Source organism: Homo sapiens, chromosome 9, assembly GCF_000001405.40.
Source record: "Homo sapiens chromosome 9, GRCh38.p14 Primary Assembly".
Taxonomy (NCBI): Eukaryota; Metazoa; Chordata; class Mammalia; order Primates; family Hominidae; genus Homo; species Homo sapiens.
The window spans coordinates 108,257,278-108,270,846 of NC_000009.12; the positions used below are offsets into that span (position 1 = coordinate 108,257,278).

General features: G+C 41.8%; 2 long non-coding RNA genes across 5 annotated transcripts in view; both read right to left on the bottom strand.

Annotated features, from left to right (window-relative positions):
* Nucleotides 1–13,569, bottom strand: part of LOC105376214 (uncharacterized) — a 401,533-nt gene that overhangs the window by 214,033 nt on the left and 173,931 nt on the right. The gene's annotated exons all lie outside the window — the stretch shown is intronic.
* LOC105376212 (uncharacterized) overlaps nt 1–13,569 on the bottom strand; it is a 37,257-nt gene that overhangs the window by 11,802 nt on the left and 11,886 nt on the right. The window lies entirely within an intron of this gene.

Here is a 13,569-nt window from a genome sequence, read left to right on the forward strand (position 1 = left end):
AAAAAATTGTCATAGACATCTGGATAAATATTCCACTGAGAGGACACTATGACAGAGCAGCAAGGTCCGTGGGTGAGACATCAGAGGCTAATTGTGAGTTACAGCTGCCACCTCCGACCCTGAGACATCGAGTGTGTTATTTAAATTATCTAATTCTCATTTCCTCATCTATAATAACTAACTTGTAAGTTATTCAGAGACTCAAACTGTAATGATGTAGGTATTTATACTGTTCATATGTAAGTCATTAGCGGCACACTTCTAATTCAGAAGACAAGCCATTACATAAGCAGAGTCAGCCAGGGCCTGGAAACATGTTAACATTCAAAAACTCAGCCTAGGCAGTCTCAGGCTAATAAGCACTAACTTGTCTGTCTCTTAGTGGAGTGCAAATATTTACGTTTAAGCAGGGAGCAACTTCCTGCTCATTTTGGTTAAAGGGTAGACCCAGTTTTTAGACAATGAATTGGGGGGCGGGTTTATCCTTTAAGAAAAAGAACACTAAATTATGACTACAATGTAAATTATAAAAGTGAGGATTTGGAATGAGAAAGAAAATCACAACAAATCGCAAATCTCTTTCTTCAAAAATATTACAAAATCACATGACCACATGAAAGGGGCTTGAGCAAGTGAGCTGCTCTGAAGCTTCAGCTTTGGCAACTTTGGAGTAAATCCTTTTCTGCTGTTGTCCACTCCAGTGTCAAAAAAAAAAAAAAAATCCACAGGTCTCATAAACATCACAATTACTCCCACCTCATTGCATATAAAATAACTTCCCTATTTGCAAAATTGAGGTGCTAAATATACTACTAACAAATGTTACAAATAAATGTCAGATGGATTCCGTGGCTTGCTTGGCATTAAACATTCCTGCTACAAATTTGTTTCAGTCCTGCATTAACAAAAATCTGACAGGTATGAGAATTCATTCTAAATTCCAAACAGAGCCATGAGGAAAAGAAAATGTTTATTCCTTATCAAGAGAAAGTTAACTGTGGAAATCTGGGAAGCATAACTGAAATGAATAGATAATAGGTCAATTTTTTTATAATGAAATTCGTGAAGTGAATGTCTCCAACATAGGATCCTGTACAACATTGTTTCAGATCAAAGGCCCCATTTTCCAGCAAAGGGAGTACGGCAGTGGGCACCAAGGGAATCCACTGTTTCTTTCACAATCCATCTCACCCTCACCCCACCAGTCTGACAGAATGAATGGCAGAATGGCCTCTTGAAGATGCAGCATAGTGCCATCTCGGAGAGGGGACCTTGCTAGGATGGGGCACCATCCTCCAGGAGGTGGTCTATACTCTAAGTCAATAATCTTTATGCAGTAATAACTCCTCCACAGGTAGAATACATGGGTCTAGGAGCCAAGGGGTGGAAGCAGAGTAGATACAATTATCATGATCCCCAGTGACCCAGTTGGGGATTTATGCTTCTCATCCCTGAAGTCCTAGGCTCTGCAGATCTAGAAAATCCTGCTCCTTCACAGACAGTAAATACTCCCACTGGAGAACACAATGAGAGTCTGTTTCATTGAACTTTTAAGCTCTGGCTGTAACTGGCCACTTCCGGTTCCCATACCAAGAGAACAGTAGATGAAGAAAGTCATCACACTTGTAGGAGTAATTCACATTGGCCTTCAGCAGAAAGAGACTGTTAAGAAGTCAGCTGCCAAGCTGTCAGTTCTTGGATGATTTTTTTTTCTATTTGTTTTTAAGATATTTTCTTCATCTTGGTTATTCCGAAATTTCAGAAGTGGATTTTTTTTATTAATCTTGATATTTATTGAATCTACTGAGACTTGTGTTTTTCGCCAATTTTGCAAAGTTCTCATCTATTATCTCTTCAAATCTTGCTTTCCTTCTATTTTCTCACTGTAGAACCCCAACTAAACAATCCATTGGAAAATACTGACCAGGGGCACATTAAACTAAATTTTTTACTTTGGGGCTTTTGGTCCAAAGTGGTAGAGTGAATTCCAGCACCAATATGGACATAGGTAGGTTTGTGGTTGGAAATTCTCAAAGGAGACATATTACCATCCCTTTCACACCTGCCTGGCCACTCCACCAAGAATCAAGCTAAAACGGTCCCTCTGTGGAGCAACTTTTATTTTAGGTCACACATTTTGGGCATCTTAGGGAATTCTTTTTTTTTTTTTTTCTTTGCAATAATTCCTATTGTCACATCTCACTGTGCTCAAGCCCTGGACTTTGTCTCCTATGCTCTGCCTTCCTGGCCCATTAAAACTAAGAATCTAAGATCTTCACATTTCATCAGGCAATCTGAACTTGTTTATACTTCTGGAATCATACTTTCTTGTGTTTTTTTTTTCTTCTCCCAGTGTTTTTCATACTTTACCATGCGCTCAGTCATGCTTTGACACAGCTACTTGATCTATCTTTGTGTTTCCTGCACTGGGAATGTTTCTCTGCATAAATGCTCTGCCATGTTGTTGCAAACAGATGTCAATAATTCCTCATTTGCATCATTTCTGAAATTCCCAACTAATCTTTTTTTGATATTCATAAAACCATAAGGTTTTACCTCTACAACTGTCCAACTCTACAAATGAGAGAAGTTATTTCACCTGTCCTTCCCTCAGCTCCCTTGTCCATAAAGGGAAGAAAAGATGATCCTATTTCACAGCCCATTGTGAGAACTAAATGACCTAATGTCCATACCGGTACACACAAGGGTCATAATTTTATGACTGAACCTGAGCTAGGATTTTAGAGTAGAAGGAATACTTTGTGTCTGCCCAAGGCCTCTTGGCCAGCTCCCCTCCTCTAGCCATCACAGACACACTGGGCAGGACCCACTGCATGGTGGACTCTGACTCATTCACTAGAATGACACTGAGGTTGTTACCAGGGCATATGGAGCTAAGACCTCAGCAGGCCACTTCTGGCAGAGGCTTTAATTTTCTCAATGGCAATAAAGTGAGGGCATTACAAGGCATTTGGTAAATGTTTATGGTCTTCGCAAGTTTTTTCCAAAAGTTGTTATGAGATTCAATTTTATCTTATTATCCTTTTTTCCTCTCTATTAAAAAAGCTACAGTTGCACACATTCCTTGTATATCATTGGAACTGCTAAAGTTTCACTCTCATGTTGTGGCTTGTTCATGCCGAAATGACCGTGCTGTTCTTTTCAAATCAGGACAAACTATTCCCATATCAAGAGCCTTTTTGGAGTGACTAATGATCACATTGCCTCATCTTGACTTAGTTCAAATATAGACGAATGGTAAGTACATGCAAGGGCTTCTCATTCCCTAAGACCCAGCTTAAAAGTCAACTTCTTTTTGAGAGTTTCCCTGACCTTCCCCTACCACCCCAGTGTCAGTCACTTTCTCCCCTGTGCTTCCTCAGCACTGCATGCCAACATCACCTTAAAAGATCTTACCACTGGCTTGGTGTCCTGTCACTATTTGTTCACAAGTTATAGGAGATGGTAAGTCTCTCAAGAGGAAAGAGACTATTCCTCCTGGTAACTTCAGCACCTAACATAGTACCTGCCATATAGTAGGTGCTCAATAATATTTATTGAATCAATACAACAAGAAGCATTTTAAGTTATTTTACATGTGAATAATTACATGATATTTACTGTGTGAACAATTACATGATATTTACCACTTAAATGAAACTAAGATTTTTAAAATGTCAAAGCATAATTATCAAATCCTAGTTAAGGGATGGTCCTTTATAACACGTACATGGAGGGCTTTTAGATATAGTATTTCCTGAACTTCATTTGGTTTTATTTGGGTGGCTAAACCGTGGGGTGTTTTTTAAAATGAGGAGCTGATATCACAGAGTCTACAAATATAAGAGCTGAGAAGGGGACTTTGAAATTATGCAATTTAACAATCTCTTTTTCTTTTCCTTGCTTTATTTTCTTCAGAGTACATATCATGAATTCAAATGATTAATTTTAATGTTTTCAGGCCCCTTTCTGGCTCACGTGTTAGATTATAACCTCAAGCACTGCACTCCAGCCTGGGAGATACAGCAAGACCCTCTCTCCAAAAAAAAAAAAGATTATAACCGCCAGTAAAGCTGGACCCTTGCTGTCATGTTCACTGTTATGTTTCCAACTCCTAAAATAATGCTGGAGGCATAGAAACTTTTTAAGAAATATATATTAGATGGATGACTAGATGAGTGGATGGATAGATGGATGGATGGATGGATGGACAGATGATGAATAAATAAATAAAAACATAAATAAATGACATGTGCAGATGTGGAAAAGGGTTTGCAGGACTTAGAAAGTCTTCTGAGGCCCTGTACAGCAGTTATACTGCAGAACACTACCCTATCCTTACGTGAAATAGTTCAAGTTCCTCAAATTGAATCTCAAATTTCTCTATTTTATTCCTTTTTTGGAATTTCTGCTGCCACTACCATATTTCAGGGTACTTGCAATGTGTTTCCATTCCTTAGACATTTTAATAAGATGTCAGTGCAGGATGGTATCAGCCAAGCATCTGAGGAGTAAGTGGTCAGGAACAAGATATAGTAGGTACCTTCTGCAGATGTTCCCAACCATAAAGAAAGTAAAGGAGCACTCATCTACCCATTAATTCAACAAATATTGAGTGAATACCTACTATGGGCCAAGTAAAAATCCTAGGTACTTGGTTACTTTAGTAAACAAACAAACACAACAATTCCTTTCTTGGTGGAGCTTAAATTCTGTTGGGTGGAGGTCCGGGGAGCAGGGGAAATAAGTAAAAATAATAAGTACTATGAGTAAATTAGATAGTTCAGCTAGACAGTGATAGACGAAAAAAATAGAAAAAAATAGAGCAATGCAAAGTGATTGAGGGTTCCGGGAAATACCATAACTTATATTACAGAAACACTGTGATGCCTACAGAGTCAGTTGCATAATGGGGGCTCCCACACAAACATTTAATATGTTAGTTTCTTTAGGAACTAATTTGAATACCATATTTACCAAAATAAATAAAGCCATGGGTTCTGCTTCTACTCCTACGAATATCACCTATCCCTTCAACGGTGCTAAAGTAGACTTACTTTTACATATACTTGGCTTTTTCTGTTTCTGCTCATCCAGTTGCCTGGTCTTTCCCTACTTAGAGATTAATTAGATGAAGAAGGTATGTTTTTGAAAAACTGCCTTTCATTTCAGGTTGGATAAGAACAGCTCGAGACACCGGACCATCTGGACTGAGATTCAGGAGTCCAGGGGACCCTGGTCCAACTCTATACCCAGCTCTCGTGTGACCTTGTTCAAGTCACTTTGCTTCTTGGGTACCTGGTTGCCCTATTTGTACTGTAAGGGAGTTAGATAAAATGATTTTGTACACTTTCTGAGTTGCAGCTCAGGTGCTCCAAGATTCTACAAATTGCATGTGGAGGAGAATGCAGAGAGGAGATATCTATCCTGAACTCTTGCAGTGACATACCAATTCTTTAAATAATTACAGCTTTAAGCAGAGAAGTGTTCTTGACATTTTTATAAGCATTCTCACTTTATTATTTTGAAACTTCAGCAAGATTTCTAAGTGGTAATGCAAATAGTCTTTGACTAATACTAGGGAACATTCTTTGAGCTTCCCGCTAACCATCTATAACTATAATTGTCTCTTCAAAGAAAATTTGCTTCTTAATTACAAGATCATGCACTAAAAAATAAAATGGAATGTAGCATGTGGACTGAGTAAGAGATGTGTGCGTGGGTGTGTGTGTGTGTGCGTGCGCGCATGTGTGCGCCTGCGCGCATGCTATGGGGTGTGTGTGTGTGTTCATGTGTGTGTCGTATTTGTCTAATTTTAAGAAAATTTGTCAGAAGCCATTTAAAATTCTCACCAAGATTATATGACCAGAATTATACTTTAAAAGTTTAATGAAAATTCAGACTTAAGATAACCTGGCAAGATCAATTTCCAAAAGCTACCTTTGCATTGATGCATTTTCAAAAAACTGCTTTTAGAATTCCAAACTTGCCTCTCCACAGTGGTTGCTCAAGTGTTTCTTTTCCTAGGAAGGGAATGGGAAGGAGCATGGTGGCCCCTTGAGGAGGGTCACTTTCGGGTAAGGGATATCATCTGGTTTCAGTGTTTTAGCCATGAGCAAATTAGAGGAAGCCATTGCATCACAAGTACCCCAAAGTGTTTATTGGAAAATGACTGTAGGCAAATTTTGAACATTCTTTTGAAAAACAGCCCCTTCATAAAATAAAAGGAGGGTGGCGACTTAAAATGAGCCACTTCCTGTTCCTGGCCTCAATTTCCTCAACTGTAGTGGTAGGGTAGGTGATGTTATGAGAAACCAGCAGGGCTTAATCTGAATGCTAATAAAATATGGGGGCAACTTCCCACACCAGGAAAATTAAAGTAGACCATGGAGATGAAAGTAGGTATCCTGAGGCCAGTAGGATTCATGGTCCAGGGTGAGAAGAGGGATGTCCCCCACCAGGAGGAAAGGATTGACATGCTGAAGACTTAGATACCTGGATGGGTTCATAGTGAGTGGGGAAGACATTTGCTGCAGCTGTAGAGAATAGCTCCAGCTGCCTTCTGGACAGGTACCACAGGAGAGGAAGTGCTAATGCTAGGTCCTTCCACCGAAGGGCTGAACTCACTCTTTGGCCCAAGAGACCTACCTACTCTCATTTACTGAGCCCCAACCTCCAGAGCCCCAATAACAGAGAAAAGCCCAATTGCAGAAAACTTCTAGATCCCCAACTCACCATTTTCCAAAATCAGGAAGAGACAGACATTGAGACTGGGTGGGAGTTTGGTGGTTGTTGCCTAACTCGCTTTGCCATTCCTTGAGATTTGGGAAATAAACACTGCATCAGAGTTTCTAGGGTGAGTGAGGACAGTGCGAAGTTAACAGGGATTTCCCTTCCGGGGTCCCCTTCCATTCATTCCTATTCTGCTAAGGCCTTGCTTAAATAGATCCCATAGGACTGGCTCAGCCTCTGCTGTTCCTCCCTCTTGGTTCTGTCTCCTTAGTAACAGCAGGGAGGGAAGGCTCTTTTGGTGTCCAGGGCTCCAGGATAGCCAAGGAGCAGAGGCAGGGCTGAGGAATAATACATAGTTCCCCTATGGTGGATGGCAGGCTTAGATGCCCACACCCTTCGCTGCAGGTCAAGTTTCTCCATCTCTGCGGGTGGCCTCAGAGCCCCCTCCATGGGGAGCTAGGCATGTTTCCTATGTTCACACCAGGAAAGCCTAGCAGTGAATGCTCCAGAACAAGAGGAAGTGGGCTCCGCTAGAGCTACAGTCTTCCGTTTCTGGTCTTTCCTTCAGGTTTGGGGTGTTGCAACCAGCCTCAAGGCAGGAATATTCATAAAAATACTATCAGTTTTTCCGAGTGGTCCTGGAAAAGGAACCACACTAACTTGACCAGATGAAGACAACTTCTGGTTTTGGCCTGTGTCAAAGTGGTTTTCCAAATTTCACCTGAAATTTCAGGTTGCCTATTTTCCCAACTTCAAATTTCCTCTTAAAAGATAACTTTCCTGGCTGGGCACGGTGGCTCACACCTGTAATCCCAGCACTCTGGGAGGCCGAAGTGGGTGGATCACCTGAGCTCAGGAGTTCGAGACCAGCCTGGCCAACATGGTGAAACCCCATCTCCACTAAGAATACAAAAATTACCCTGGTGTGGTGGTGCACGCCTGTAGTCCCAGCTACTCAGGAGACCGAAGCAGGAGGATCTCTTTAACCCGGGAAGTGAAGGTTGCAGGGAGCCAAGATCGTACCACTGCACTCCAGCCTGAGTGACAGAGCAAGACTCAATCTCAAAAAAAAAAAAAAGACAACTTTCCTATGCTTCAGATGACAGACACCCTCCCTATAAGTGGCTGTAAAGCCTATAGCAGCCAGAGATTTGGAATATCTGTTTTGATTAAATTGAGAATGGGGTAACCCAGCCCAATGAATCATGCTTAAAATGTATTTTATATTAGATCTGCGAAAGTAATTGCATTGTAAATGTCTGTTGAACAATCTTGTAGCTAGTAATAGGCTTATGTAAGAAATGGTAATTAAGTGAATTGATTTTGTTGCTTCCCAAGTCTTCCCACAGCCTACAAGGTCTTACTTGAGGTAGCTCACTGATTCCATCTACTAGTGGTCTTCCCTCCCTTGTTCTGCCCAGCCACAGGCTTCTTGCTTTTCCTTCACCATCAGGCAGCATAATCGGGTTTCAGAGCCCTGTACCTTCACAGCCTGTGAAAGTTCCTCCATATTGCTTTATTTAAAAAGAATTTTTAGTTCCTATGTCATAGTTGGCCATATTTCTCCATAATGCTTTATCTTTGAGAGTTTTTCCAACCTAGTCCTGCATGGCCATTCAAATCTCCATGATCACGTGAGTAAAGCCCCCATCCATAGCCTTCCTGGGAGCAAGACACATACACAGATTTCTCCATTGGATCTTTCTTTGGGTTTAATTATCTGTCAAACAACAGAAACTTAAGGGAACTTGGGAGAGCCTACCCTCAGTCCAACATTTAAAATATTATTTCAACGTTCATTCCTGTTTTCGTTATTTCATTTTGTTATTCTCAAAAGAAGATTTCATCTTCTGCATGATCCATTTCTATCTGTATCTCACAATCATAAAATATTTCTTCAAAACTAAACTACAGTTCTGCCTGTACAGGTTGGTTGAGATTACTTAGGGGATCAATTAATCACACCCTCTCCCATTTGAGTTCTGAATCCATTAGGAAGGGGCCACTGGCGTCAAACAGGAGACTGAATAACAGTATTATCAATGGAAAAATGGCATTAGGAAAAGTGACATTGGAGACCTACATGAACTTCTACCCCTTTTTCCTAAATTCTAGATCTTGGGACCCACACCTGATGTGAGTTGAGCCTGCCACCTCCCAGCTACCTGGAGCACCATAACTGGCCTTGCTGAGTGTATAGAATCCAAGGGGAAAGACTACTCATGAGAAGTATTGTTTATCCCGTCCAAAAGAGAAACGTCCACCAAAGAAGGCTTTCATTATCTCATCCATCAGAGGCAAAAGCTAGGAAGCAGAGCAATACTTTTAAGTGGGAAGAAGTTTCTAAGTTATGGCTGGCAGAGAAAGGAGGGGAAGCAAGGGATGTTGTCCTGGTTGTTCTGCTCACTTTGTCCTGCTTGAGAAAACCCCTGGCCTCTCATACATTCTCCTTTTACAATATCACTGAGTATATGGCCTCCTTCTGTGCCAATTCTAATTTAAACTCTATTCAGTTCCCATGTCTCTTCCTTACATTATCCCTTTTAGGACCATTAAACTATTTTTATCAGCCCATCCCTAGGTCCTGTCTAAATTTCATATTTCCTGAGTCAAAGAATCCCAATAAATAACTCCTATGACCAAAATCAACTCTATGAAAATTAGATTTTCCAGCAATGGAGAAACCACCCCACTATGTCTCATACACAGCTTGTGACCCACTGCAATTCTGAGCTCTTCTTTCTTCTTCAGGAAATAGTTTATTCCTCTCTCCTGGGTGACTACTCTGTGCTTTCCCTAATGGCCTCCACCTATCCATTTGGCCATCCCCAGGGGTCAAGAACATTCCCAACTGTAACCAGCTTTCCCAGGGACTTGCTCTCACACCAGTTTACATCAGAAGACAATTGAGTGAGTATATCTGCCATTTGTGTATTTAAAATGTTAATGAAATTGCTGAGTGCTCCAACTGCCTCCAGTTCACTTGAGGAAGAAGAAGCCCCTGTAACCCCTTTGTTTTGGCCAGTTTCTCCCATTTGGAATGGCTGTATCTACCTAATACCTGTACCCCATTGAATCTAGGAAGAAACTAGCTTGCTTTTGATTTTGCAGGCTCATAGGTGGAAGGGACTTGCGTTGTCTCAGATGAGACTCTGGACTGTGGACTTTTGAGTTAACACTGAATTAAGACTTTTGGGGACTGCTGGGAAGGCATGATTGGTTTTGAAATGTGAGGACATGAGATTTGGAAGGGTCATGGGTAGAATGATATGGTTTGGCTGTGTCCCCACCCAAATCTCATCTTGTACTCCCAGAATTCCCATGTGTTGTGGGAGGGACCTGGTGGGAGATAATTTGAATTGTGGTGGCTATTTCCCCTATACTGTTCTTGTGGTAGACAATCAGCCTCATGAGATCTGATGGTTTTATCAGAGGTTTCTGCTTTTGCATCTTCCTCATTTTCTCTTGCCACTACCATGTAAGAAGTGCCTTTCACCTCCCGCCAGGATTCTGAGACCTCCATGGCCATATGGAACTGTAAGTTCAATTAAACCTCTTTTTCTTCCCAGTCTCGGTTATGTCTTTATCAGCAGTGTGAAAACGGACTAATACAGTATCACACATAGAAAGCCTAGGAGATTGTCTTTTAGCTTGACTAGCATGAAGTTTTCCTTTTGGATATCCATAGGCTTTTATTGGCGGCAATCTTAAAAGCCAAGTTCTATTATCTAGGACAAAAGGGTTTCTCCTAGCATTTAAAAATAAGCGTTTTGAAAAAAGAAAAATTGATATGACATGAACAACTAAAAGGCCTGGAGCCGAGTGACAGGGCATCCCAATCCTTCCTCTGATCTATTCCAACAGCAAAAAGGAAGAGCTTAATCAAGATTGGGTGAGGGTGTACCCCATGTTTCTGGGCAGCATGACCCTCAGATCCTGTCTGCTGGCTGTCTATACCTCCCCCAGGCTGCTGGGATGAAAAGACACCATTTGTCAGAGGACTCTGCATAGTCAGTGAGATAATGTGGTTTAAAACTTGTTCTAATTCCTCGAGAAAGGAGTCCTTGGGCATCAACATTTCGGCATAGCTCCAGGCAGACAGCCTAGCTCTGATCTGAGCAAAGGAGTGGTGTGGGCATGTGGGTATATGTATGTATGTTATATGTGTTTATGCATGTGTGTGCTTGTGTATATGTACATGCATGCACACCTGTGTGTACACTCACACTATCCTGCACAATGATTACACTTCTCTAAAGCCCTGCTTGCTGCCCCAAGACAATGGTGAAGAGAAAGGCTGAGGATGGGAACCATGGGGTACACCTGGCTGAAGGACCCTGGACTCTGCTGGTTTCCATAGCTCCCTCTGCCTGAGACACTCTGCCTTTCCCTCTTGGCCCAGTGAATGTCTCGTCCTGCCATGCTCTAGTCAACAGACCTTGACCAGGGAAAACATCCTTGGCCTCCAGGACTTGGTCAACCCCTCCCCTGTTAAAAACTCCAAAAGCTGTTGTGGTTCTCTCCCCTGAGTAAAACTTCCTCCTTCATGGCATTTATTTGGAGTGTGACTTGACATTTATTTGGGTGATTGATCACAGTCTACCTCACTCACTAGGCTGAAACCTCTATGAGAGCAGGGGCAATGTCTGTTATTGTTTACTATGTGTCCAGACACACAGTGGATACTACAAAAATACTTGTCAAATGAATGAATGAATAGGGAGTGAATTAAGAAACCAATGAACCAATGATTTGCTGACTCAATCAATGATCTGCTCTCAGAGCATTTTCTTCACTTACAAAATGGGACCCATAAAGTCTATTCTGTGTCACAGAACACACAGAACAGGCACACAGTCGGAATGGAGCTGCAGAATGTTAAAATCATTGTCCATTCTACTTAGGAAACCTGGAGAATGGAGGCCCTAATTGCAGCTCTGTTCCCCGGAGATTCTGATTTAATTGATGTGGAGAAAGACCTAAGTGTTGGAACTTTTTGGCAAGTTCCACAGGTGATTCTAAGGTGTAGCCCGGGTTAAGATCCACTATGCTTGATACTTAGGGAGCCTCAAGTTGAGTCGTTCCTGGTCTCTGCCTTTCAGTATCTCCTTGTCTAGTGGGCAGGGGAAGCCTGCAAATGGATAAGGGCTAGAATGAAAGATTGGACTAGCAGCTATAAGGTTAGAGAAAGAGAAGAAAATGATCTCTGCTTGGGTAGGCTGTTCAGGGATGACTCTACTGGGGCCATGGCATGAGTTCCATTCTGACATCCAATTCAGAATTCACCAGGCAAAGCCAGGGAGGCCTTCCAGCCCAGAGAGCAAACAGCAAGTCCAAAGATACAGAGGTGTGAGGGGGAAAACACATTAGGGATTTTTCCAAACTACAAACTGAAATTATATAGGCTACAAGAGGGTGTGGAAAATAATACCAGATAAAGCAGCTTCATTTGCATTCTTGCTTGTGAAGAGAAGCAACTCTGTGGTGAAAAAGAACCTAAAACTCTGTGGTGGAAAAAGGGAACAAACTAATGGCCAACCACATACAAAAAAAATGTGGAAAGTTCCAAAAGAAAGCCACCAGCAGCTCTGCAAACTCAAGTTGCGGTGGATGGTTTAGGCAAGTGTTTCTCTAAGTGTGGTCACCTGAGCAGCCACATTAGCATTACCTGGGAACTGGTCAGAAATGCACATTCTCAGGCTCCACTCCAGAACTACTAAGTTCTGGAACTTAGGAAACTCTCAGGATGCAGAGAAACCTGTGTTCTAACACACCACCCTCCAGGTGGTTCTGATGCACACTACAGTTTGAGAACTACTAATTTATGGGTAGTCCCCAGAGGGCTGTAGCTTTAAAGAAAAATAGCATATAATTCAGAGGCTGATATAGGAAGGAGCCCTTAGTACAGTTTATTTATTTTCTTTATTGGCAAACAAACATGGGTTTTGAGATAGTCATGAGGCCTTAAATCCTAAGGAACTTCCCCTTAAGGGAAACTGAGCTCTGCCAGCAAAAGACAGCACCTCCTGTGGCAGAACAGGTGCTTCTGCCTAATAGTGGAGCAGGAGGTCTTGCTCAGGGCACCAGAATAAGCGTGGGGTCTTCCCCAGCTACAGCCTGCAAGCCTGCCTATGGGTCTGGAAATCAGGGCAAGGCAAGATTCCCACATACAAAATTAGATCTTGGAAACAGGTTAGTTATCTTGGACTGACTTAGCACAAAGGAATGTTATCACTGTACAGATCTACACACAGATCTATATGAAACTGAACTGAAACCATGCAGTCTTTCAAAGAGAAGGCCACCAGCCAGAGAGAATAGTGGAATTATCAGATGCCTGTGCTATTCCTTGCACAGAAAAATCAGGAAACTGGGTTTCTGTAGATTGTCTGAAGCCAGCTTCTCCCCTACCATCTGCCATGGCCTACCATCTCCTCCATTCTGGGTACCCAGAGAGTTGTGTCACATCCATTATCTCATTTAGTCTTCACAGTGATTCATTAACTTTCAGGGGGCACTTTTAAAGGTGTAGGCTTTTTGCAACCACCTGTCCAAAGGAAGTCACAAAGTCCTAGAGACGGCAGCCAATTGCAGTATTTTATTTTTCAGAGACAGACGCTAATTACTCTGTGAAATGACTGAATCAGCAAAGTACTATGATGTTGCATGACAACTGTGAAAGAAGCATATGATGTTGTGTAAATATTTCTTTCCTTCATCTAGGTCATTAGTTTTTAGTACCTCATCATTTTGCTGCCTTGCTTTCCACATTGATCCTGCCACTTCTGTGTCATGGGATTTAGAGGTTTCAAACCAAAATCACCCGAGCTGGCTCCA